A 26,354-nucleotide genomic window follows, 5' to 3' on the forward strand; every position below is an offset into this window, starting at 1 on the left:
TCCTCACAGACACCAGAAGCTGGAAATGGCAAGAAACAGATTTTTCTCCAGAGTTTCTAAAAGGAGTGTGGCTCTGTTAACATCTTGATTTTGATCCAGTGATACTGATTTTGAATTTCTGTCCTCCATAACTAAGAGAAAATAAACTTCTTTTCTTATGAGCCACCAATTGTGTAGTAATTTGTTACTATAGGAAAGAAATACATATGGTAATTCATCAATTCATCAAACTATACATTCACTTATGATTTGTGATTTTTTTATGTTTCTGTTACACCTCAGTAAAGAGTTTGCTAAACATTAAATGCATAAAGAACAGGCTTAAATGAGGTATGAATTTCTTCAACAAATATTAATAAAGTTTTTATTCTATCCAGAATTTCTGCTAACTACTGGGAATTTAATGATGAGAAAAATGAAAAATATCCCAGTCCTAGTGGAAAAGGCAGGTTAAACAAATAGCTATAGAGTCTAAATTGCTTTGATAAAGACTTAAGAGCAGGTAAGAAAAATCTGAGGTCTGAAGTATGTTAGTAGACAAAGAAGAAACGTGAAGTTCTCCCTAGTACAGAAATCTACTTACAAAGGCAACTATCTGCAAAGGATGATGAGATAACCACTACACTGGAGAAATTAAAAGCTCAGATTATAGGAGACAGGGTAAATTAAAGGGAACTAAGTATCCATCAATTTTCTTACTTCCTTTTCTAGAGTTTAGAGCTGTTACTGGAAAACAGCTCCCCTTCCGGAACTATAATTCTTAGTTACCTTTCTTCTAAGTAAGTCCATATGTCCTATTCTTACCAATAAAATATCATATTCTTACCACAAAAAGAAATAATTTGACTAAGTTCGTAATAATTAAGTCTGCCTTAACTCTTTAGTCCTTTGTCTGCCAAGAGGATGCAGAAGACTCTGGGATCCTAAAGAAATCTTAAATCAAGAAGATGCAAGAGGAAGCGACGCCAACAATATAGCTGACTAGAAGTGCCTAACACTCAACCTCCTCCCCGGCCACCACACAAAAGGACCAAAACAACAAACAAATAACCACTTTTCAACTAAAATATATGAAGGAGAGCCCTGGAGTAAAACAGGGAAATGGCAGAGACCCTGTGGATCATGGAGACTCAGGATGGCCATATAAAAAAGGGAATGGAACACTCTGCCTTTACCATCTTGTCTCTCCTAGTGGGATGAGGTCAGAGCCAGGGCGGACTCTCCTTACAGAGAAAAGGTATGCAGGAGGCCCTCAGCAATACAAATTAAAATGTGGACACCCACAATCTTTGCTCATGGAGATCACTGTAGTCCTCACAGGTCCTAGGCCCAGCCTGAGGAGTTGCCTGGAGTTCACATGACTATGTTACTCCAAACAAGGAGCCCACATTGTGTCTCCTCCTGCCCTATTATCCAAGCTGCTGCTGTGTAATGGCATCTTGAGACTGAAGCCACTGCTAGGGTGCCTTCTCATTTGGGGGTCTATAGCCACTGTATCTTCCCATACCCTAGGCTTCACTGCCACTACACCACACCTACTAATGGCAGCACACCATTCTGCAGCTGAGCAGCTACAACTTCTAACCCCATGGAAACAAACTGCCAAGGAGGCACTCCATCTTTCCATCCCAGTGACTGCAGTATCTTGGCTCTGTCTACTCAGAGCCTAGGACCAACAGAACAGCTGTAACCTTAGTACCTGAGCCCATGTGGCACCCTGTTCCCCAAGGAACAGGCACTCATGCCCAGTGATTGTACCCAAGCTAACAGAGCAGCATCACAAACTCCTGCAGCCTAAGACATTTTCTTATGAGGAAATCCCCCCGTATGGGACATCATGGCTGTATCTTGCTGCTTTAGACTATCAGCATATTTCTCAGCATATTTCTTAACCTTGCAGGCCAGGAGAGAATGGAACAATATACTCAAAGTGCCGAGAGAAAAAAATAAAACTTCTAGTCAAGAACAGTATACTCATCAAAGTTATTCTTTTTTTTAAATTTTATTATTATTATACTTTAAGTTTTAGGGTACCAGAATCTACAACGAACTCAAATTTACAAGAAAAAAGCAAAAAACCCCATCAAAGAGTGGGCGAAGGATATGAACAGACACTTCTCAAAAGTTATTCTTTAAATATGAAGGAGAAGTAAAGTCTTTCCCAGACAAGCAAAAGCTGAGGGAATTCATCACCACTAGAACAGCCGTACAAGAAATGCTTAAAAGACGGTTTCAAAGGATGTTAATTGCCACCATGAGGTGAAAGGATGTTAATTACTACCATGAAAGTATTTAAACTCACGGGTAGAAGTAAACTCATAATTAAATTCAGAGTGCTACATTATTGTAGTGGTGTATACAGTATGAAGGTTAAAAGTCAAAATGGTCAACAATAACCATAGCTACAATAAGTTTTTAAGAAATAAGCCATACAAAAGATGTGAATTAAGACAACAAAATTATAAATTGGGTTGGAGGGTCAAAGTCTAGAATATTTGCAGGCAATCAAAGTTAAATTGTTATTAGCTTAAAATAAACCTTTAGAACTATAAGATTTTTTATGTAAGCCCCAGAGTAACAACAAAGAAAAAAGTTACAGCATATATGCAAATGAAAAAAAGAATGGAATAAAACCATGAAACCACAAAAGTAAACACAAGAGAGGAAGAAAGAAACAAAGACCTACAAAATAACCAGAAAACAATGAACAAAATGGCAATAGTAAATCCGTACCTATCAATATAACTTTCAATATAAATGTATTAAATTCTGTAATTAAAAGATGGCTGAATGCATTTTAAAAACATACAACTATATCTGCTTACAGGAGACTCACTTCACCTGTAAGGACACATACTGACTAAAAATAAAGAAGAAAAAATTATATGCCATGCAAATGGAAGTCAAAAGAGAGCAAGAGTAGCTATACTTAGATCAGATAAAATGGACTTTAAGTCAAAAACTGTAAAATGAGACAAAGATGGTCATGATATAATGATGAAGGGGTCAATTCAGTAAGGGGATATACAACTACAAATATATATGAATCTCAAACCAGAATACCCAGACATATAAAGCAAATACTATTAGATGTAAAGGGAGAGATAGACTCCAATGCAATAATAATAGAGGACTTCAATATCTCACTTTCGGCAAAGGACAGATCATCTAGACAAAAATTCAGCCAAAAAAACAACAAATACAAAGCGCACTCTAGATCATGTGGACCTACCAGATAGTCACAGAACATCCCACTCAACAGCTGAAGAGTATGCATTCTCCTCATCAGCACATGGAAGTGTCTTCAGGGTAGATCAGATGTTAGGCCACAAAACAAACCTCAGCAAATCTGCAAAAATCAAAATCAAGTATCTCTTTTGACCATGATGGAATAAAACTAGAAATCACTAACAGTAAAACTTTAGAAACCATTTAAATACATGTAAATTTAACAACATGCTCCTGTATAACAAATGGATTAATGAATAAGTTAAAAAGAAAATTCAAACACTTCATGAGACAAATGAAATTGGAAACACAGTATATGAAAACTTATGGAATACAGCAAAAGCAGTTCCAAGAGGGAAGTTTATAGCAATAAACACCTACACCATAAAAGACAAAAAATCTCAAATAAACAGTATAACATCATACCTCAAGGAACTAGAACAACAAGAACAAACACAAAATTAGTAGAAAAAAGAAATAAATGAGAGTGGATATAAGTGGAATAGTGACTAAAACAATACAGAAATCCTTGAACAGAAACAAACCTTTAGTTAGATTAACTTAGAAAAATGGAGGGAAAGTTCAAATAAAATCAGACATAAAAAAGTATACATTAAAACTGATGTAACAGCAATACAAAGGATTATAAGAGACTATTATGAACAACTACATGCCAACGTATACATATACAACCTACCAAAATTGAATTATGAAAAAGTAGAAAATCTGAAGAGACCAATAGTGAGTAACAACATAGAATCTATAATAAAAAGTCTCCCATCAAAGAAAACCTCCAGATATGATGGCTTCACTGCTGAAATCTACCAAACATTTAAAAGATGTTATCAATACTTTTCAAACTATTTCAAAATAATTGAAGATGAGAGAATTTGTCCAATCTCATTCTACAATGCTGGCATAACTCTGATACAAAAACCAGTCAAGGACACAACAAAATATGAACTACGGGACAATATCTCTGATAAAAATAGATGCAAAAATCCTTAAGAAAATACTAGCAAACCAAATTCAACAGCACATTAAAAAGAGCATTCACCATGATCAAATGGGATTCATTCTAGATAATACAACCTACATTATACAATAAATGTGATATATCACATTAACAGGATCAAGGACAAAAGCTAATCTATCACTTTGATAAACAGAAAAAGTATTTGACAATATTCAATGCTGTTTGATTAAAACTCTCAACAAAATGTACCTCAACACAATAAAGGCCAAAAATGACAAATTACGCTAACTGGAGAAAAGTTGAAAGCTTTTCCTCTAAGATCTGAAACAAGACACAGATGCCAATTTTCACCACTTTTATTCAACATAGTACTAAATTCCTAGCCAGAGAAAGTAGGCAAGAGAAATAAATAAAAGGGATCTAAATTGGAAAGAAGGAAGTCAAATTGTTTCTATTTGCAGTTGACATGATTTTATACATAGATTTTATATAAAGGTTCAACCAAAAAGCTCTAAGAAGTGATAAATAAATTCAGTAAAGTTGCAGGATACAGCATCAACCAAAAATATCGGTAGCATTTCTTTTTTTTAGTAACTTTTATTTTAAGCTCAGAGGTACATGTGCAAGTTTGTTACATAGATAAACTTGTGTCATGGGAGTTTATTGCACAAAATAATTTCATCACCCAAGTACTTATTTGTTCTATTGGCTGCAGGGTGACTATAGTTAATATTGCATATCTCAAAATAATTAGAGGAGAGGATTTTAAAAGTCCTTACCACAAACTAATGATCAATGTTTTAGATAATGAATATGCTGAATACCCTGATTCTATCATCACTGAATATATGCATGTATTGAAACATCACATTGTGCCCCATAAATATGTGCAATTATGTGACAATTAAAAGCAAAATAAAACTTCAAAAATAAAGATGGAAGAAACCTGGGTTGCTCAATCTCTGACAGGTGACCAGTCACCAACCATAACACTACTGAGCATAGTTACATGAGCAGATATATCATTTCATGTGGCTAAGTACCTAAAATTTTATGATATTTTGTTACATTAGCTAGAATTACTCAAACCAATCACAAAGAGAGTGAGATATAAGCCTGGGTAGAAAAATCAATTTTAGAATGATGTTGTAAGTCTTACTAAGAAATCTCAACTTTGCTAAAAGGACAATGGAAAGATTGAGGTATTTTAGGAGGTTTAATGTTATATATTTAGACTAAGCAATTTGATAGGTTACAGAAAATGCATTACAGATAAAAAATCTTAAAGATAATGAGATAAGTTGATGACACCTACTGCATCAATCCAGTGTGTAATGAGTATCATAATAAAACAGAATTGAACAGACTCAGAAATATTTAAAGTTTATACAGATAATGCCTATTACTTGACTACATTTGACGGTAAGGGAGAAACAAAATTGGTGCAAAATTTTCTTGCTTGAGGAGCTAGCAAGACAATACACAACTCCAGGAGTTCATTCATTTAAAAAATGTCTTTATTATTTGTCATATAAGGGAAAGATAAGTTGACTATTGTCCATAATGAATTTGAAGTGTGTATATAAAAACAAGTGGAGATTCTCAGTAGGTAATTGAATATATAGAAAAATATACAGAAAAAAACATGCTATTTAAAAAAATAACTACCTTTAGCACCTTCTCACAGGAGAATGACAAAATTCCCCCTAAAACCAGAAGCCATTTATTTAGTGAAATAGCTTGGTAGGTCACATTTTTGTAAGTGTTGAGCAAGAAGCGGATCCATTACAATGGGTCAAGAAGTGTATTAGCCAAGGTCACCGAAGAAAACACAAAACATATTTGGCAAAGATTTTCAATATAATATGAGAATCAACTATCCATAAAAATCTTGGCAGGATTAAATGAGGCATCCTAACACCAGAACCAGCAGGAAGCTTTATTACTCTTGGCCTGAAGAGACAAGAAGAGGGTTAGAAATTGTTGAGAGCTAGAGCCATAAAGGGACCTACAAGGTATAAATACTCAGGGATAGATTACTAGAAGAATTCTAGCGAAGTGGCAGGGAGGAGAAACAGAAGTAAAATCCAGACCTTTCTCTCCTTTTTCCCTCTAATCTCCTGCCAGCTCCTTTTATTCTCCAATCTCAATAAAGGCTAGAGGCAGAAAAGCCCAGATAATGTAGCCATGCTAGTGAGCCAACAGGGGCCTAGAATAGAAAAGGGTGGAGAATGAAACAAACAACTAAAGAAAACTTCAAGAGAAATCAATAGGAAATGATGACCTGGGGACAACTGACATGATGTAATAGCTGATTTCAAGAATTTAGGGTACAAATGGGAAGAGATGAGTTTATAGTTGGGAGATGATGTGTTAAGAAAGTTAGATACGGCCGGGCGCGGTGGCTCACGCCTGTAATCCCAGCACTTTGAGAGGCCGAGGCGGGCGGATCACGAGGTCAGGAGATCGAGACCATCCCGGCTAAAACGGTGAAACCCCGTCTCTACTAAAAATACAAAAAATTAGCCGGGCGTAGTGGCGGGCGCCTGTAGTCCTAGCTACTTGGGAGGCTGAGCCAGGAGAATGGCGTGAACCCAGGAGGCGGAGCTTGCAGTGAGCCGAGATCCCGCCACTGCACTCCAGCCTGGGCGACAGAGCGAGACTCCGTCTCAAAAAAAAAAAAAAAAAAAAAAAGAAAGTTAGATACTTAAGAGAGAAAGTTGAAGGAATTCATACTAATGGTAATGGATTTGGTTTACAAAGTAGGAAATGAGTTTATAGAGTACATATATACATATGCTAAGAGCCCATGTAAAGAAGAAAATCCAAATATCTTGTTCTAGGGTGTGAGAATGATGATCAAGGCTGTCTTCTGTGCTTTCTTTCCCTTATCATTACATAGGACCATAATGGTTAAATCTCTTCACTGTCCAACTGTACAAGAAGGGACCTAATTCTGAGCGGTCTATTTCAGTTCATTTATATGCAAATTATCCGGCATTAAAATTCAATTTAAAAAATTAGCTCAGCTCCTATTGTGCCACCAGGATGATTTAAATTCTGTCTTTTCTTAAAAGAAAAGGAGCAGAATATCTCTAAATCTTTGTGTTTCAAATATTTGGTTTCGGTTTTGGGTCTGGTTCTCAACACTGACCACTAGTGTTAACATACAGTTTATTACAGGAAACTTGTGTGAAATGTTCTATAACAATTGTCATAACAACACATAATGAAAAGAAAAAAATGCAACATCAACTAGGATGGGATGCCAATGTCAACAGTTCATTTTTACTCCTGGTATTACAACCCATATTTTCATTGTTTAAAAAAAAAATTCATGTTCCACATGAACCTAGCAGTACACTAGCAATATGACAACAATGTAGCCACTTATCTCAGCAAAACAAAAATTTTACTACTTTTCATGTGCCGTGCAGACTCATTTTTTTCAGAAACTGCTTATCATTTGTTTATTTATAATATTCAAGATACCCATTGGTGATAAGGAATGAAATGATAGCCAATTGTATTCATTAGATTTTGCTCCATATTAAGCCACCTCAAAATTTATTGAATTAAACTAGGAACCATTTTATATTTGTTCACAAACCAGGCGAGTACCTTTTCTGGTCTGGGCCAATACGTTTGACCTCTACTAGGATGTCTGGTAAGTCTGGGTGAGCTGGACAATCTATACTGACCACACTCATATGTCTGGTAGTTGCCAGGTTAGCAACATGAGCTGGTTTACTGTCAGCCAGGCCCCAAATTCTCTCCACATGGTTTCTCATCTGTCATCAGCTGGAGCTGACTTATACCTGAATGAGAGCTTGTTTTATATTATCAGGGGTTTTGTGAGGTAGTTATTATACACTTGGTGGCTTGAAATCTGCCATAGTGGGAGTATTTTTACCACAGACATTGGAAAATACTACAAATCAGAGCCTTCTCTTCCCCCTTTACCCCATGAACCAGCTCCTAAACATTTACCAGGACATCATTGCTTCTTGTCTTCCAAAAGACTGGCTTAGGCTCGATTCCATGGTGGCCTCAGTATTCCCATAGTAACAATAGAGGGCAGTCCCAATGCAAAATTCTCTTGTGCTATTATTCCTTTCGGCAGAACAAGACACATGGCCAAGTCCAGAGTCAGTGCAGAATACCACTCATCAATTTAAAAGAACCAACTATTGATTCACAGAGTAACTGGGGTGAATCTCAAAGGCATTATGTTGAGTAAAAGAAGCCAGTGTCAGTAAAAACATATGTATGACCCCATTATAACATTCTCATTTTTTAAAAAAAGAGTTTTATGGTATTTTTGAAAAGTAAAAAGTAACCACCACATGGCCACTTGTACACTCATTTATTCAGTGAATCAATAATATTCTGTGGGTATCTACTATTTGCTAGGTTCTGGGCCAGGTGTTGGGGAGATGATAGTGATCCTAAGACACTCAGTTTTTACCCACATGAGTCCCACAGTCTTGGAGTGGAGATGCAGAAAGGAGAGAGAAACAAAGACATGTAAGAAAATCAAATGAGCAAATTAAAAGTTTAATGAGTGTTATGAAGGTAGTAAATAATGTTGCGAGATGAGAAAAAACAAAGGAGTGAAGAGGGGGGAATGGTACTCAGAAAAAGCCTCTCTGTGCTCTGTGTAATGAATAACCTTCTATTTAGTTTCTGTGGGAAGGATATACAATAGAAGAGCCAAAAGAAACAATATTCAAGCAGACAAAAGAGAAATGGAAACTCCCTAAAGTGGAAAGGGATTGTGTGTTCCAGAAAATGAAAGCAGGAATTTAGTGAATGACCAATGAGTGAGACGAAATGAAGCTGAAGGTTAATATGTAAAATACAGGATAGGAAGGGCTCATTATGGATATTGGATTATATTTCTAGAGCAATGGGGACTATGATGGTCCCTTGGTGTCTACGGGGAATTGGTTCCAAGACCCCCGCAGATACCAAAACCCATGGATGCTTCAGTCCCTTGTATAAAGTGGTGTAGCATTTGCATATAACCTATGCACATTCTCCCGTATACTTTTAAATCATCTCTAAATTACTTATAATATCTAATACGATGTCTACATATCACTTCTTTTAAGTGAATTCAATGTAGTACTTGATGTGTTGCAAATTTCAGTTTTGATTTTGAAGATCTGTGGAATTGTTTTTTTCTAAATACTTTTGATCCGTGATTGATTGAATCCATAGACACAGAACCCACATATACAGAGGAATGACTGCATGTTTATCATTTTAAAGTTGTTTGACTTATTTATCTTATTTTTAAAGATTTATCTTATTTTTAAAGACTGCTCTGAGCATTCAGGAGAAATTGACTGGAAAAAAAAATCAGTGCAGAGAGTTGGAGATTATTAGAAGGCCTTTGAAACATTTAAGGAGAAAGAAAGGGATGGTTTAGACAAGGGAAATTGTAATAGAAAGCTTTGATGGATTGGGCATATTTTAGAGAAAGGTACAGCAGGACTGGAAGTGGGAGTGAGAAAATAGAAGAAGTGAAGTTTCTGGCTGAAACCACTGGGGCAATAGAAATGCCATTACCTGGGTTAAGGGAGACTAAAGGAGGACTAGATTTGGAAACAGAAGAATTGAAATGACTGTGAAAATTAAAGAGAAGATGTGAAGAAGAAACGTGATCTATCAGTCTGGGCTGATGACTGGGCTCCTCTCCTCAATTAAGCTCATCAAACTTCCTGGGCACTCACTCTGTGTCACAACATTTACTTTTGTCTTTGTCCCCTGCTCTTCTCTGTAGATTTCCTAAGTCCTTCTACAGCTCTAATGGGATATGTTTCCACAATATCCAAAAGCAAGCTATTTTTATATCTGGGCAGTTTTACCCACTTATGTCTAAGATTCTTTTCTGATTCTGTTATATGGTCAAGTACTGTGTAGTGATAATTAAAATATTGGATAATTTTGGCAAAATATTGTGTGGTATGGAATTTGAAAACCTTTGACATAAAAATTTTCAAGAAAAGGAAGAAATATAAGATTAGAGAAAGCAAAATTCTAATTTTCTTAGACCCATTGCCAGATTTATATTTCTTTGGATCTAATTTTCTTTAGGCCCTGTGCATGTGTGCTAGTGCTTACTGGCACAGTCACTTTAGATAAGGACAAAGAAAGCACATGGATAGAGGCAGAACATTAAATGAGGGCAAATATAGTTGTTGCAAACTTTGAGGTCACTACATTTCTCTCTCATGACATATGTTCTCATTTGCAATTATAGGCAAACAATTTAAAAGTTCTTACCATCTTGATATGGGGGAGAAGCAACCAAAATATTGTTAATAACTCCCATAGCAAGATGAATTCACTTAACAAAGTTCATTTTTTAATTGGCTTTCGCAATTCATGGGATTGGTTATCTGAGACTTTTGGGAGTGTCATGATATTTAAATAGTTCCTTTATAGGCTCCTGTGATTCTCTTTTTAAAATTATTTTTTAAAAAGTTTTGGAAGCATCTTCTCTTCACCCTGTTGTTACTTTCCTGAGATTTATCTCAAAATTGGTATGTGGAATTTAATCGCATCAAGCTTAAAAGCAACTGTACATGTTGCCATTCAGAGAGATAAAGGGATTCTGGGCTAAAGTTATTACCACAGTCAAGGCAACCTGTGTTTTTGAGCATGAGGACTTGGGGTTTGGGCGTGAGAGCCTAATATAAAACAAAACAGCGAATTATTGCTGTTTTGACTGATTATTGTCACTGCTAACACAAGCATGGGATTGAAGTAGCAAGATAAAAGTGAGCATGTTGATGTATAGTTCAGAAAGAGCAGAGAATATAATTGGGCACTACTTTGTTATCTTAGAGGTGGGAGGATCACTTGAGGCCAGGAGGTCCAGGCTGCCGTGAGCCATGATCACATAGTTGCACTACAGCCTGAGTGACAGCGCAAGACCCTGTCTCTTAAAATAATAATAATACTGATAAATTATTTTAGTGACCAGGTAGACATCCTTAGATAGATGTTTTCAGTAATCAGATCCTTAATTGAGCAATATGTAGCAGTTAAACATATGTTCTTTGCACATTCAAATCTTCAGACTACCAGTGTGCCTTGTGACACTAACTTTAGCACTAAATTGTAGCTGCTTCTAACACAAAGTTAGGATTATAGTAATATTTACTTTATAGCATTGTAAGGATAATAAGGTAATTATTGGTCACATATCACTGTAAGATAACTAAATCAATCTCGTCATACCCAAAAGCCTTTATTCAACTTAATTATCTACATAGTAAGAAGCCGGTTTCTTCCCATAAATGATTATCTTCATTACCAAACTATCTTCTTTCTCTTCTACAACTTTGATTGATTCTTTTCATGTCTGACATCTGTACCACTAAGACCTTTACATGTACCTATTTGTTAATCTGGGCTGTGCAATCTAGAGTTTGAGCCACAGAAGATTCTACAATTTGACCTCTTGCCTTATAACCTTTGCTTCTTCCTTCCTGTTTGACCAGAATGCTTTTAGTTAAAGCTCCTTGCTCAAATTAATTTCTGAGTCCAGAAAGTACTTCATACAAATTTCACATTTCTCCTTTAAATGGAAGTTTTATTTCACATTCGGTTTATCATTACCTTAGGCAGAGACCTGCAATTAATTTCCAAATCAGGTACTAAGGATGGGGTGTTAATCCCATTAGAGAAGTTTATTTCCAGTATAACCTGATGTCCAAGACAAGGCATTATTTAACTCTGTATTTGAAATCTGAAGTAGAGTTAATAATGAAACATCAAAGAATGTCTTCCCCTATTTCACAATGATATCCATTTGTAACCTAATTCTAGCTCTAGTTTACTGCATTTACTTTTTTTAAATAAGTTAGAGGTGAAGAATGCTAAAGGTTGGAAGTAGCTAACTGGTGAATGGAGAATTGTAAAGAACGCTATGTGGTTTTTCTTCAGTGTCTACTTTCCTTTTTGTCAGATTTGTATTCCAATGTTTTAATAAATGATAGGTTTATTCTAGAAAATAATGACTTTATTCTAATATTTCATTTTAATCTTATTTGGTCTTTTAAAGTCTCTTAGTTTGTTAATCTTCTCAGAAGCAAATATTTTTCTATTCAGATTGGCTTTACTTGTAAGAAAGTAAAACTATATTATGTAATTTTCAATTAGAATATACTTTATAGTTTACACAGCTCTTTGAAATGTGCACTATCACAAATAAGGACTCAAAAGTTTAGAGAATTCCAGTAAATTGCACAAGGACATTAATCCTATCTGTTTTGGGCATCATTATCTCTCTGGGCCTGCAGAGTTTTTGGCCCATAATCACCAAAGGTACTCAAGAAGTTGGAATGAATGAACAAACACTATCACAGAGTAAGTAGTGAAGCCAGAAATTAAACCCAGATCTGATCTCAAATTCTGTGTTCTTATATTAAGGCATCTTGAGGAAATTCACACTCTGCCTTTCCAAGAAGACTGACTAATCCACAACTGTTAATATGGAATATGATCATCTCTTACTATGGAAAAATATTTTTAGAATGATTTTAGAGAAATTCTGCCTGTACTTGTAGAACCAAGTTGCAGACAAACTGAAATGGTTTTAGACAATTTTGACTCAACACACATCAGTTTGCACATTTTTGTCAGGCTTTGTATACATATATCAGATACTTTAAAAGGCATCTGATTCTGTGAGGTAATACCAAAAAATCAATTACTAATTTTTATAGTTTTAATGATCTCAATATTTGAAAGTCATTCCATGAGTATCTGTCTCAACTAACTATTGACTATGACTGTAGACACACAGGGAGCTCCATGTAGCTTCGGGGATCTGGCTATGAATTTCATTTTCAAGGGCTCTTTTTTGAGAAAACAGATTGTTTCAATTTTATTTTGAATACAATTAGATAAAATTAGCATCATGCACTTAAAATTATAAAATTGTTTTCAAATTCTGTACATGGACATATATACATATGGATACAAATGTCAATACATAATTTGAAAAACAATTTTATATCCATATTTCGTTCTAGAAAAAAAACGAAAATGTTAGTATGTATCTATATGTTGAGACTAAATTTATGGTTCCCTAAAATTACAAACATGCCTAAGCCTATGAAGAGAATATTATTCAAAAAAGCCAATTTTGCATGTCAAGTCCATAATAAGGTTAAAAACTAAATTTTCATTTAATTAATTTCTAATAAACTTGCAAAATTACAATGATGTTTCCCAAGGGAATGTTTATTTTTCACAAATAAGGTATTGCATATACTTGCTATGTTATTGGTCTGAAGTGGAATTCCTCAAGGCTTGCTCCTCATTTTTCTTTAGTCTTTCTGAAATGTAACCTGCCTAGTGAGGCTGTTACTGATCACCTGGTTATAGTCCATATTCCTTTGTTCTGCTTTATTTGCTCCATGGCACTATTCCATAAATATTTTCCTTTGACAAAGGTAGTTATCTTCATTACCAAACTATCTTTTTTTCTCTTTTTGCTGTCTCTCAACTTCTCCCCTCTTAATTCATAAATATATATATCATGTCAGTTAGATGTCACTAACTGATATAATACATATTTTACTTATTTATTTTTAATTGCTTGTGCCAACACCACCCACCCCCACAGCTTTAGGATGCAAGTTACATGAGGATGGGACAGTTTTTATTATTTTTTTCTCCCATTGCTTTGTCTCCAGGGTCTATAAAACTGTGTGGTGCAGAAAAGACAATCTATAATTATTTGTTGAATGAATTAATTACATCAGAGATGCTATTCAATAGGCCTTGGAAAACTCTTCTGTTATTGTGATATTAGCTCAATTACAGAAAGAAGAGGCTGTGAAATCATTAGCAAAGGTAAGTAGTTCAAATATAAATTTAATTAGAAAATCTATTATGCTATCTGAAATTGCATTTAGTGTTGTGGGAAGTCAGCAACCCCAAACGGAGGGACTGGCTGAAGCCATGGCAGAAGAACGTGGATTGTGAAGATTTCATGGACATTTATTAGTTCCCCAAATTAATACTTTTATAATTTCTTATGCCTGTCTTTACTGCAATCTCTAAACATAAATTGTGAAGATTTCATGGACACTTATCACTTCCACAATCAATACCCTTGTGATTTCCTATGCCTGTCTTTACTTTAATCTCTTAATCCTGTCATCTCGTAAGCCGAGGAGGATGTATGTCGCCTCAGGACCCTGTGATAATTGCATTAACTGCACAAATCATAGAGCATGTGTGTTTGAACAATATGAAATCTGGGCACCTTGAAAAAATAACAGGATAACAGCAATGTTTAGGGAATAAGAGAGATAACCTTAAACTCTGACCGCCGGTGAGCCAGGGGGAACAGAGCCATATTTCTCTTCTTTCAAAAGCAAATGGGAGAAATATCGCTGAATTTTTTTTTTCAGCAAGGAACATCCCTGGGAAAGAGAATACGCCCCTGAGGGTGGGTCTCTGAAATGGCCCCCATGGGTGTGGCTGTTTTCTATGGTTGAAACTGTAGGGATGAAATAAACCCCAGTCTCCCATAGCACTCCCAGGCTTATTAGGAAGCGGAAATTCCTGCCTAATAAATTGTGGTCAGACCAGTTGCTCTCAAACCCTGTCTCCTGATAAGATGTTATCAATGACAATGGTGCCCGAAACTTCATTAGCAATTTTAATTTCACCCCAGTCCTGTCGTCCTGTGATCTCGCCCTGCCTCCATTTGCCTTGTGATATTCTATTACCTTGTGAAGTACGTGATCTCTGTGACCCACACCTATTCACACTCTCCCTCCCCTTTTGAAAGTCCCTAATAAAAACTTGCTGGTTTTGTGGTTTGTGGGGCATCACATAGCCTACCGACATGTGATGTCTCCCCCGGACACCCAGCTTTAAAATTTCTGTCTTTTGTACTCTGTCCCTTTATTTCTCAAACCGGTCAATGCTTAGGGAATATAGAAAAAGAACCTACGTGACTATCGGGGCAGGTTCTCAGATAATTTAGTCCCATCTTTGAAGAGCAGGTAGCCAATCATATTAAATAATATTAAATTTAGCTTCTGTAAAAGAGGAATCATATGGTAAGGGTAAAGAGTACAACTGTGATACTAAAAGAATCACTTTTGATTAAAGAGGATGTATGCTTCTGAGATTCTAGGAAGATACATCTGTCATTGCTAAATTATTTAACTCACTGTTGTATACTTTACATTTTTTGATACAGAAAAGCAAATGCAATATCTCACTCACACTAGTTCAATTGTTACAAATTAATTTCAATCTATTCTTATTGCTGCAGACACCTCAAATACATGGCCTCATGCCATTCCTTTATTTGTTGTCATTTATCAAAGTAACTGGACTGATTTCCATATCTTTACACCTGGCCTAAATTGCCTGTCCCTTCAAGATTCTGTAAATGGTGCTAGACTCCTCATTTTCAACTATTAATAATCTGAATGTGTAAGTACAGTATGTATGATTTTCAAAGTTCTATTAAGGTATTGCACATTTCTACAAAAACATTTTAGAATTCAATGGCAAATATTGCTGTCTCTCAATTTCTCTCTTTCTATATAGGTTTATCTGTTAGATAAAAACTCTCTCTCTCTCTGTCTCTCTCTCTCTCTCTCTCTATCCATCTATCTATCTTGCAAAGCATAAAGGCAAAAGTAAATAATAATTCATATAATTATCTAAGTGAGCCCAGGGAAAATATTAATTCCTAACAATCATGTGAATACTCTTTGTCTTATAGCCTCACCATTTTATTTTTATATTAGAATCAAAGCATCTATTTGATTTGCAAAATGGTAAAAAGCTTATTCTTAATCCATCTTAATTATCTTTTCTTCCCTCTAGATAACTTCAGCAGCTCAGATTCAGTTAATGGATGGAGTAATAAATCAGTGGTTACTGAATTCAATTTGTTGGGGCTGTCTAGCTCTTGGGAACTCCAAGTCTTCTTTTTCTTTATCTTCTCTGTGTTTTATGGAGCTGCAGTGTTGGGAAACATCCTTATCATCATCACAGTAATTATAGACTCTCATTTGCATTCCCCAATGTACTTTCTTCTTAGCAATCTCTCTTCCATCGATGTGTGTCAGGCTACATTTGCCACTCCCAAGATGATTGCAGACTTCCTCAACGAACACAAGACCACCACTTTCCAGGGATGCATGTCACAAATCTTTTTCTTGCATGTTTTTGGGGGTAGTGAGATGGTGCTTCTTGTTGCCATGGCCTATGATAGATACATTGCTATATGCAAACCTCTGCACTACATGACCATCATGAACCGGAGGGTGTGAACTGTTCTGGTGGGGGTTTCCTGGGCCATTGGCATCTCACACTCAGCCACCCACCTGGCATTCAAAGTCAATCTGCCTTTCTGTGGACCCAACAGGGTAGACAATTTTTTCTGTGACCTCCTCCTAGTGATCAAGCTTGCCTGCTTAGACACCTATGGTTTTGAGATACTGGTGCTCACTAACAGTGGTCTGCTCTCACTTATGTGTTTCCTCCTTTTGCTCATTTCTGACACTATCATCCTTGCTACTGTGCATCGCCAAGCCTCTGATGGGATGTCCAAGGCCCTTTCCACTCTGTCTGCCCACATTACTGTTGTGCTTCTCTTCTTTGGCCCATTAATATTCATCTATATTTGGCCCTTTGAAAGCTTCCCAATTGATAAATTTATCTCTGTGTTTTTTTACTGTCTTCACTCCTCTCCTTAACCCCATGATTTATACTCTGAGGAATAAAGATATAAAGGAAGCCATGAGGAAGCTAAGGAGATGACATGTGGGTTCCAAGCAGGGTTTTTAGACAACTACAAAGAAGTAATACAAATTCCTACTTTTGGGCTTTGAAATTAACATATGTGATTATTATTATTGTGTTTGTATCACAAATAGTTTTTTTACTAGACTAAATTAGAGGGCCTGAATATGGTGATCTGGAGTTGGCAAACACAGTGCAGAATCTTATGATGCCAGTTCCTATATTCTGTGTCTCACATCATCCTCCCTAAAGCTGCATCTACAAGTATTAAAACCCATAAGCAGTTTTTCCTCTTAAACAGGCACCATAAAAAATTATCTCTGAGAGGTAGAGGTAAGAGGATCACTCAAGCCCAGGAGGTCGAGGCTGCAGTGAGCCGAGATTGTGCCACTGTACTCCAGCCTGGGCAACACAGTGAGACCCTGTCAAAAAAAAATCTCTTGCAACATTTAAAAATCAGCTCTATATTAAAGAAGATTAGCTAGTTCATGTGATTCACTCTGGGTAACATAGAGAATAATTTAGCATTATTTGAGTTAAAACAGAATTTGCTTTGAAATAAAAGGCGATATGAAGATTCTAAAAAGTGCTGCTTTACCTCATCAGTTACAGTTCATAATTATTCTGGCTAATACCTTATTGTTATAAAGGTAAAATTTTATATTCACAAATAAGGCATTAATGCTTATCAAACATGTCTTTTGTCATACTTATTATTTGTGCTAGAATTTAAATATATAAAATGCTACAGTATCAATTACAGGACTATAAATATAACCAAGTTCATAGTTAAAATTACAAGACTACTCTTACACTCTCTGGAAGAAAGAGCAATTACAAACCTCATTATATCACTAATAATAACCTGTCATCAATTGACAATGACTGCAAGGTATCTGAATAGCCAGTGATTTTCTTTAGTTAATTTCATTTGGGAGTGTAATTTTCAAAGTAGTTGCAGAAAATATATATATTGCTAATTAGAAAATATATCACATGCTTCTCTTCTTCTCAAACTTTAATTGAAACTTCAGAAATTGCTCATCAAACGTTGGAAAGAATAAGAGAAAGAGGGTCATCGCATGATTGATTCAGTCTTTTATCAGCCACAGAATCTGGCACTGTCATCACTGCACCATATAATTCGAGCTTGAAGAGTTTATTCTGTTTATGATAGCTTTCAATTCAAACTTGTAATTTTTGAACTAAAGATGTGATTATGTGTTTTATTTTTATTACTTAAAATAGATTGTGAGTCCCTAAGGCAAATATTGTCCTATATTTTACCATAGTTGTTAATGTATCAAAAGTTTAACATGCAAGCACATGCAGCAAGTGTCATAAAAAGGATATGCTACCCAGAGCAATTGATATTCAGGTGATTTCTACACTTGGCTTTTTACAAATGTGGCATTTGGAGTGATGAGGTTGGAAGCCAGTGAAAAACTAGATTGTCCATCTCTAAGTCTTAGCTTATGTGGGTCATTGCACTCTGTAACAATCTGATCTTGTTTTTGCATTTAGTTTTCCACATGTGGAATTACTTCATTGGGTGCTACTTTACTAAACTGACATCGATTAAAGGTCTCTGTCAATAGAATTATAATGGGCAGTACCAGCTATCTAAGTAAAGAGGCAAAAGTCATAGGCCCTTGTTCCATAAAAGCTTTTAAGCTTATCAGGACAGCAATAAAATGTTTATTAACAGATAATAAAAGCAAGTAGAACATATAATAAAACACACACTGAATTTTTAGGTTAGTGCAAAAGTAATTGCAGTTTTCACAACTAAAAGTAGTTGCAAAAACCTCAATTTGTTTGCACCAACCTAATAATCCCAGTGTGTTAATGCTCAGTTTTGTCCAAAGCAACTCAATGCATGTGAGCAATTTTTAAAATTTAACTTATATCAGAATATGTGTACACATAAAAGAGATGAAGAAAGACCTTTGGCCTTGTAGAAGTGATTGTATATTAAAGAGCAGAAAATCACAGAAATGTATAATGAAAAAGGACTTGATCTTTATAAGGGTTGCAGAATTACATGGCCAGGAGAAGACATTTACTGGCAAACCACCAGAAAATCAGATAAGTGACATTAACTTAATGAATTGTGCCAGTTTAAGTTTTGACCCCATACTTACAGTCATACTAGAAACCCCAAATTGTTAATTGCAAGAAATTTGAAGAAGAAATTTGTCAAATTACATTAAAAAATGTTTGTGAAATTAATTAACCAAAGCATCATGATTAGAACAGAAGTCAGATTACTTGGGAGTGGTTTGATAAATCTGTGTTAAATTGAAAAGTTTTGGTTATTTGATTGGCATGTGTGAGATTACCAGACTCTGAAAGCTTGTTAGAAAAATATCTACCTTGGCCGGGCGCGGTGGCTCACGCCTGTAATCCCAGCACTTTGGGAGGCCGAGGCGGGTGGATCATGAAGTCAGGAGATCGAGACCATCCTGGCTAACAAGGTGAAACCCTGTCTCTACTAAAAATACAAAAAATTAGCCGGGTGCGGTGGCGGGCGCCTGTAGTCCCAGCTACTCGGGAGGCTGAGGCAGGAGAATGGCGTGAACCCGGGAAGCGGAGCTTGCAGTGAGCCGAGATTGCGCCACTGCAGTCCGCAGTCCGGCCTGGGCGACAGAGCGAGACTCCGTCTCAAAAAAAAAAAAAAAAAAAAAAAAAAGAAAAATATCTACCTTAACAATGTTGAGATAGTCACTGTTATCCATTATCTTAATTACTCCCACTGTTATTTATCCATGTAATTGGGGCTGAATATAGTCTTTCTTTAAGTGTGTTAATATCTCTTAACAGGTTAAAATCAAGACACATAGCCAAGACTCATACCAAGAGAACATTCGCATATGTTCTCTTACTCATTATATGTTTTTAGAATTTAACCTTCTCTCTCAGACTTATTTTATTACTTATAAAGTTTTGTGAGTCAAATGTTATGAGTAGAATATTTTTTAAAGATATACAAATAGAAAACAAAAGTAGCCAAAAATTTATCTAATAGATATAAAAATGGACCCCTATTAGATTAATAAAGAGTAAAACAAAAGGATATTACTGAATAAGATGGAAACTTTGAAAACATGGAAGCTCTATTTGGTCAAAAATTACTGAACAACTTTTAGAAAGCAATTTGCTGTATTTATCAAATTATGTCCATATTCATGAGCTGATAATTGTATTTCTAGGAGTCTATCTTGAATAATTTCTTCCCTAATTCTGTAATATAAAATTAAATGCATATATATATATGTATATTGGACATGATGAACTGTAGAAAATATAACCTCATGAAGAAATGGGTAAAGCAAGTCATAAGGAGAAAAGAAACTGTTGATTTTCTCAGTGCAAGAGTGTCATCTGAACACCTACTATCTACCCACAAAAATTGAAAATTAAAATTAAGAAATTAATAAAATGTCATCTGAAACAGACCGACATTGTTTCCTCTTTCTGAGAAAATGCTGCTCCACTCACATTAATGAGCTAGAATAATTCTGACTTCAAAATTTGAAAAGGGTCATATAAGAAGGAAAAATTATAGGCCAATCTCACTCAAAAACAAAAATACAAAATTCCTTTAAAAACAGAGCAATACAAATTCAGGAAAATGGAATAATAAAATAGTATCCATTTGAGATTACAAGCAATGCAATGTTTATGATGAACTGAATGAATGAACATTTGATTATAATTTAATACAATTCACTGTATTAACAGAATAAAAGAAAAACTGTATATATAATATATACATATATATATACAGTTACTTCAATAGGGGCAAAAATGTTTAAAAATAATAATTATTGTTGTAAAGAAAACTTTCATAAATGAGAATATAAAAAGTATATATGGCTGAAAAGTTTAATATCAGCCATGAGCACACAATGCTATCTAGGAATGACACTGTTATCTACTCCACTAATTTGAAATATCAACTCAGAAGGCAAAAATAATTTTAACATAAAAGCCAAAAATGTAAACATAAAGTAGAAGGAGGTGAGGTTCACAGCACATGAAGTGAGGAGGTGAGGTTCACAGCACATCTAATTCAAAAGGGCTTTAGAGGCCAACTAGTTGAGTGGTTATCAGATTTATCTGATCATCAAAATCCCTGGAAATTTTTTTTCTTTTCAACTTTTATTTTAGATACAGGGGATACATGTGTAGATTTGTTACAGGGGAATCTTGTGTGATGTTCACACATGTGATGAGATCCATACTCCAAACCTCACATACTGAGTATGGATCTCACAGGTAGTGAGCATAGTACCTGATAGGTGGTTTTTAAACCAAGCTTCCTTTTCACCCTCTAGTAGTCCACAGTGTCTACTGTTACCATATTTATATTTATATGAGCTCAATGTTTAACTCCTAGTTATAAGTAAGAACATGCAGTACTTGGTTTTCTGTTCCTGAGTTAATTTGCTTAGGATTATGGCCTTCAGCTCTATCCATGTTGCTGCAAACAACATGATTTTATTCTTTTTTATAGCTGCGAGGTATTCCATGGTGTATATTTACCATTTTTAAAAATCCAATCTATTATACCACTGATGGACACCTGGGTTGATTCCATGTCTTTGCTATTGTGAATAGGGCAGTGATGAACGTACAAGTCCATGTGTGTTTTTGTAGAATGATTTATTTTCTACTGAATATATATCCAGTAAAAGTGGTAAAAGAAAAAACACCCTACAAAATAGAGTGTTACGCCACCAAAAATGATAAAGTAAGGAGCTAAACTAAAATCTCTCTTCCATAAAGAAATGAAAAATTGACAAAAATGTACAGAGCCACTGTTTCCATGTCCTGGAGATTAAAGAAAGGCTTACAGCAACCCAGGGAACATTTATTAAAGAAAAGTAGTTTGGTTGTTAACAGTAAATACTAAAAAGAGCCCGTTAGGTTGAAGTAAAAGTCCTGGACAGGAACTTGAATACATATGAAGAAATAAAGAGGACTAATAAAGGTAAAGGCATATATAAATGTAAAATACATAAATATGGCCATTTTCACGATATTAATTCTTCCTACCCATGAGCATGGAATGTTCTTCCATTTGTTTGTATCCTCTTTTATTTCATTGAGCAGTGGTTTGTAGTTCTCCTTGAAGAGGTCCTTCACGTCCCTTGTAAGCTGGATTCCTAAGTAGTTGATTCTCTTTGAAGCAATTGTGAATGGGAGTTCACTCATGATTTGGCTCTCTGTCTGTCTGTTGTTGGTGTATTAGATTCAATGCCATCCCCATCAAGCTACCAATGACTTTCTTCACAGAATTGGAAAAAACTACTTTAAAGTTCATATGGAACCAAAAAAGAGCCCGCATCACCAAGTCAATCCTAAGCCAAAAGAACAAAGCTGGAGGCATCACACTACCTGACTTCAAACTATACTACAAGGCTACAGTAACCAAAACAGCATGGTACTGGTACCAAAACAGAGATAGAGATCAATGGAACAGAACAGAGCCCTCAGAAACAATGCCGCATATCTACAACTATCTGATCTTTGACAAACCTGATAAAAACAAGAAATGGGGAAAGGATTCCCTATTTAATAAATGCTGCTGGGAAGACTGGCTAGCCATACGTAGAAAGCTGAAACTGGATCCCTTCCTTACACCTTATACAAAAATTAATTCAAGATGGATTAAAGACTTAAATATTAGACCTAAAACCATAAAAACCCTAGAAGAAAACCTAGGCATTACCATTCAGGACATAGGCACGGGCAAGGACTTCATGTCTAAAACACCAAAAGCAATGGCAACAAAAGCCAAAATTGACAAATGGGATCTAATTAAATTCAAGAACTTCTGCACAGCAAAAGAAACTACCATCAGAGAGAACAGGCAACCTACAAAATGGGAGAAAATTTTCACAACCTACTCATCTGACAAAGGGCTAATATCCAGAATCTACGATGAACTCAAACAAATTTACAAGAAAAAAACAAACAACCCCATCAAAAAGTGGGCAAAGGATATGAACAGACATTTCTCAAAAGAAGACATTTATGCAGCCAAAAGACACATGAAAAAATGCTCACCATCACTGGCCATCAGAGAAATGCAAATCAAAACCACAATGAGATACCATCTCACACCAGTTAGAATGGCAATCATTAAAAAGTCAGGAAACAACAGGTGCTGGAGAGGATGTGGAGAAACAGGAACACTTTTACACTGTTGGTGGGACTGTAAACTAGTTCAACCATTGTGGAAGTCAGTGTGGTGATTCCTCAGGGATCTAGAACTAGAAATACCATTTGACCCAGCCATCCCATTACTGGGTATATACCCAAAGGACTATAAATCATGCTGCTATAAAGACACATGCACACGTATGTTTATTGCGGCACTATTCACAATAACAAAGACTTGGAACCAACCCAAATGTCCAACAATGATAGACTGGATTAAGAAAATGTGGCACATACACACCATGGAATACTCTGCAGCCATAAAAAATGATGAGTTCATGTCCTTTGTAGGGACATGGATGAAATTGGAAATCATCATTCTCAGTAAACTATCGCAAGGACAAAAAACCAAACACCACATGTTCTCACTCATAGGTGGGAATTGAAAAATGAGAACACATGGACACAGGAAGGGGAACATCACACTCTGGGGACTGTTGTGGGGTGGGGGTAGGGGGAGGGATAGCATTAGGAGATATACCTAATGCTAAATGATGAGTCAATGGGTGTGGCACACCAGCATGGCACATGTATACATATGTAACTAACCTGCACATTGTGCACATGTACCCTAAATCTTAAATTATAATAATAATAATAAAATAAAAATAAAAAGTCTTATAAAAAAATACATAAATATATATATTTTATTTGTAATACTTTTTTCTCTTACCTGATTTAGAAGATAACTTCAGAAAGAAACACCTACAAATCCACTTGTTGTTCAGCACAACATGTATAAAGATGTAATTTGTGTGATAATAACAGCCTGGAGAAAGGGGAAAAACAGAGCTATATGGAAGCAAAGTTTTAAAAATATTATTGAAATTAAATAGATATTAATCCAAACTTGATTGTTGTAAGTTAAGGTGATAATTGTAAGCCCCAGGGAAACCACTAATATGAGATAATTAAAACGGTATACCAGCAAACATATGTTTAACATGAAAGGAGACTATAATAAGAAATAGAGAAACATAAAAGATACAAGACATATAGAAACAAATAACAGAGTAGCAGATGCCCTACCTTATTATTAATGACTAAATGTAAATAGATTAAATACTTCAATTAAAAGGCAGATATAAGCAGAATGGATTGAAAGCTTGACTTATCTATATGATGCCTATAAAAAACTCACTTTTGATTCAAACATACAAATTGGTTGTCAGACGATTCATGAAAAAAATATATAGTATCCCAACAGCCATAAGCAAAAGAGTTGGAGTGTATATATCAACATCAGATAAAATGGACTTCATAACAAAACATCTTTATATATATATTTTTTATTATACTTTAAGTTTTAGGGTACATGTGCACAACGTACAGGTTAGTTACATATGTATACATGTGCCATGTTGGTGTGCTGCACCCATTAACTTGTCATTTAACATTAGGTATATCTCCTAATGCTATCCCTCCCCGCTTCCCCCACCCCACAACAGGCCCCGGTGTGTGATGTTCCCCACCCTGTGTCCAAGCGTTCTCATTGTTCAATTCCCACCTATGAGTGAGAACATGTGGTGTTTGGTTTTTTGTCCTTGCGATAGTTTAATAGAGAGAGAAGGACATTGTGTAATGATACAAGCATAAACCTATCAAGAAGATTAAACAATTTTGTACACATATGTTTATGTGTTTATTTATTTCATCAAATGGCAACAGAGTCCTAAAATACATAAAGAAAAACTTACGTAACTCAAGGGAGAAATAGAGAGTTTGACAGTAATAGACAAAAATTTTAATACTTTTTTTTTATTATACTTTAAGTTTTAGGGTACATGTGCACAATGTGCAGGTTAGTTACATATGTATACATGTGAAATTCTGGTGCGCTGCACCCACTAACTCGTCATCTAGCATTAGGTATATCTCCCAATGCTATCCCTCCCCCCTCCCCCCACCCCACAACAGTCCCCAGAGTGTGATGTTCCCCTTCCTGTGTCCATGTGTTCTCATTGTTCAATTCCCACCTATGAGTGAGAATATGCGGTGTTTGGTTTTTTCTTCTTGCGATAGTTTACTGAGAATGATGATTTCCAATTTCATCCATGTCCCTACAAAGGACATCAACTCACCAAAAAAATGTTAATACTTTTAAGTAGAGCACTAAGATAGAAGATCAGCAAGGAAATAAAAGACTTGAAAAACTCTGTAAGTCGCCTAGACTTAATGTATTTATAAAACACTCCACCAAACAACAATAGAATACATAGTTTCCTCAAGTGCACATAGAACATTCTCTAGGATAAACGATATATTAGGCCCTAAACCAAGTCTCACTAAATTTAAAAGGATTAAAATCATGCAAACTATGTTTTCTGATTACAATGGAATGAAATTAGAGATCAGTAACACAATAAAACTTGAAAAATAAACAAATAGTGGAAGTTCAACAACATATTCCTAATATCCATAGGACCAAAGAAAGAATTACAAGGGAAATTATAAAATGCTTTAAGATGAAAATGAAAATACAGCATACCAAAACATACCTAAATCTTTGTGACTTCGGATTAGGCAATAATTTCTCTGATTTGACACCTAAAACACAAGTAACCAAAGAAAAATAGATATTTAATTTTATCAAAATTAAAAACTGTTGAGGTTTAAGTGACACAATCTAGAAAGTTCAAAGAAAACTCACCAAATGAAAAAAATTGTGAACTTATGTCTGACATGGGTCTTGTATCCAGAATATGTAAAGAACTCTCAAAAATAACAACTAAAAAGACAAATAACCCACTTAAAAATGGGCAATGGATTTGAATAGACTTTTCTCCAAACAAGACATGCACATAACCGTAACCACATAATATTGCTCAACACCATTAGTCGTTAATAAAATGGAAATTTAAACTACAATGATATACCAATTCACAACCATTAGGATAGCTGAAAGTAATTTAAAAAATGGAAGATAACAAATGCTGTCAAAATTGTCAAGAAATTAAATTGCTTATCTATTGCTTGTAAGAATGTAAATTGGTGTAGCCACTCTGGAAATCTGTTTGGTAGTTCCCCAAAAAGTGAAACATATGCCCCAGAAATTCCAATTCTAGTCAGCGTTCATAGGTTTTTATTTCATTTCAGAGATATAAGATGTTTATCCAAAAACTTG

General features: G+C 35.3%; 1 long non-coding RNA gene and 1 pseudogene across 1 annotated transcript in view; one reads left to right on the forward strand and one right to left on the reverse strand.

Annotated features, from left to right (window-relative positions):
• Window positions 1-8,242, reverse strand: part of LOC124903278 (uncharacterized) — a 46,274-nt gene extending 38,032 nt beyond the window's left edge. The window contains exons 1-2 of the long non-coding RNA XR_007064055.1: window positions 8,195-8,242; window positions 3,233-3,349 (exon numbers count right to left, since the gene is read on the reverse strand). This is a non-coding gene — a long non-coding RNA (uncharacterized LOC124903278). The remainder of the gene's footprint in view (window positions 1-3,232; window positions 3,350-8,194) is intronic.
• OR4K16P (olfactory receptor family 4 subfamily K member 16 pseudogene) lies at window positions 16,055-17,062 on the forward strand (annotated as a pseudogene).

The sequence above is a fragment of the Homo sapiens genome, chromosome 14 (assembly GCF_000001405.40).
Source record: "Homo sapiens chromosome 14, GRCh38.p14 Primary Assembly".
NCBI lineage: Eukaryota > Metazoa > Chordata > Mammalia > Primates > Hominidae > Homo > Homo sapiens.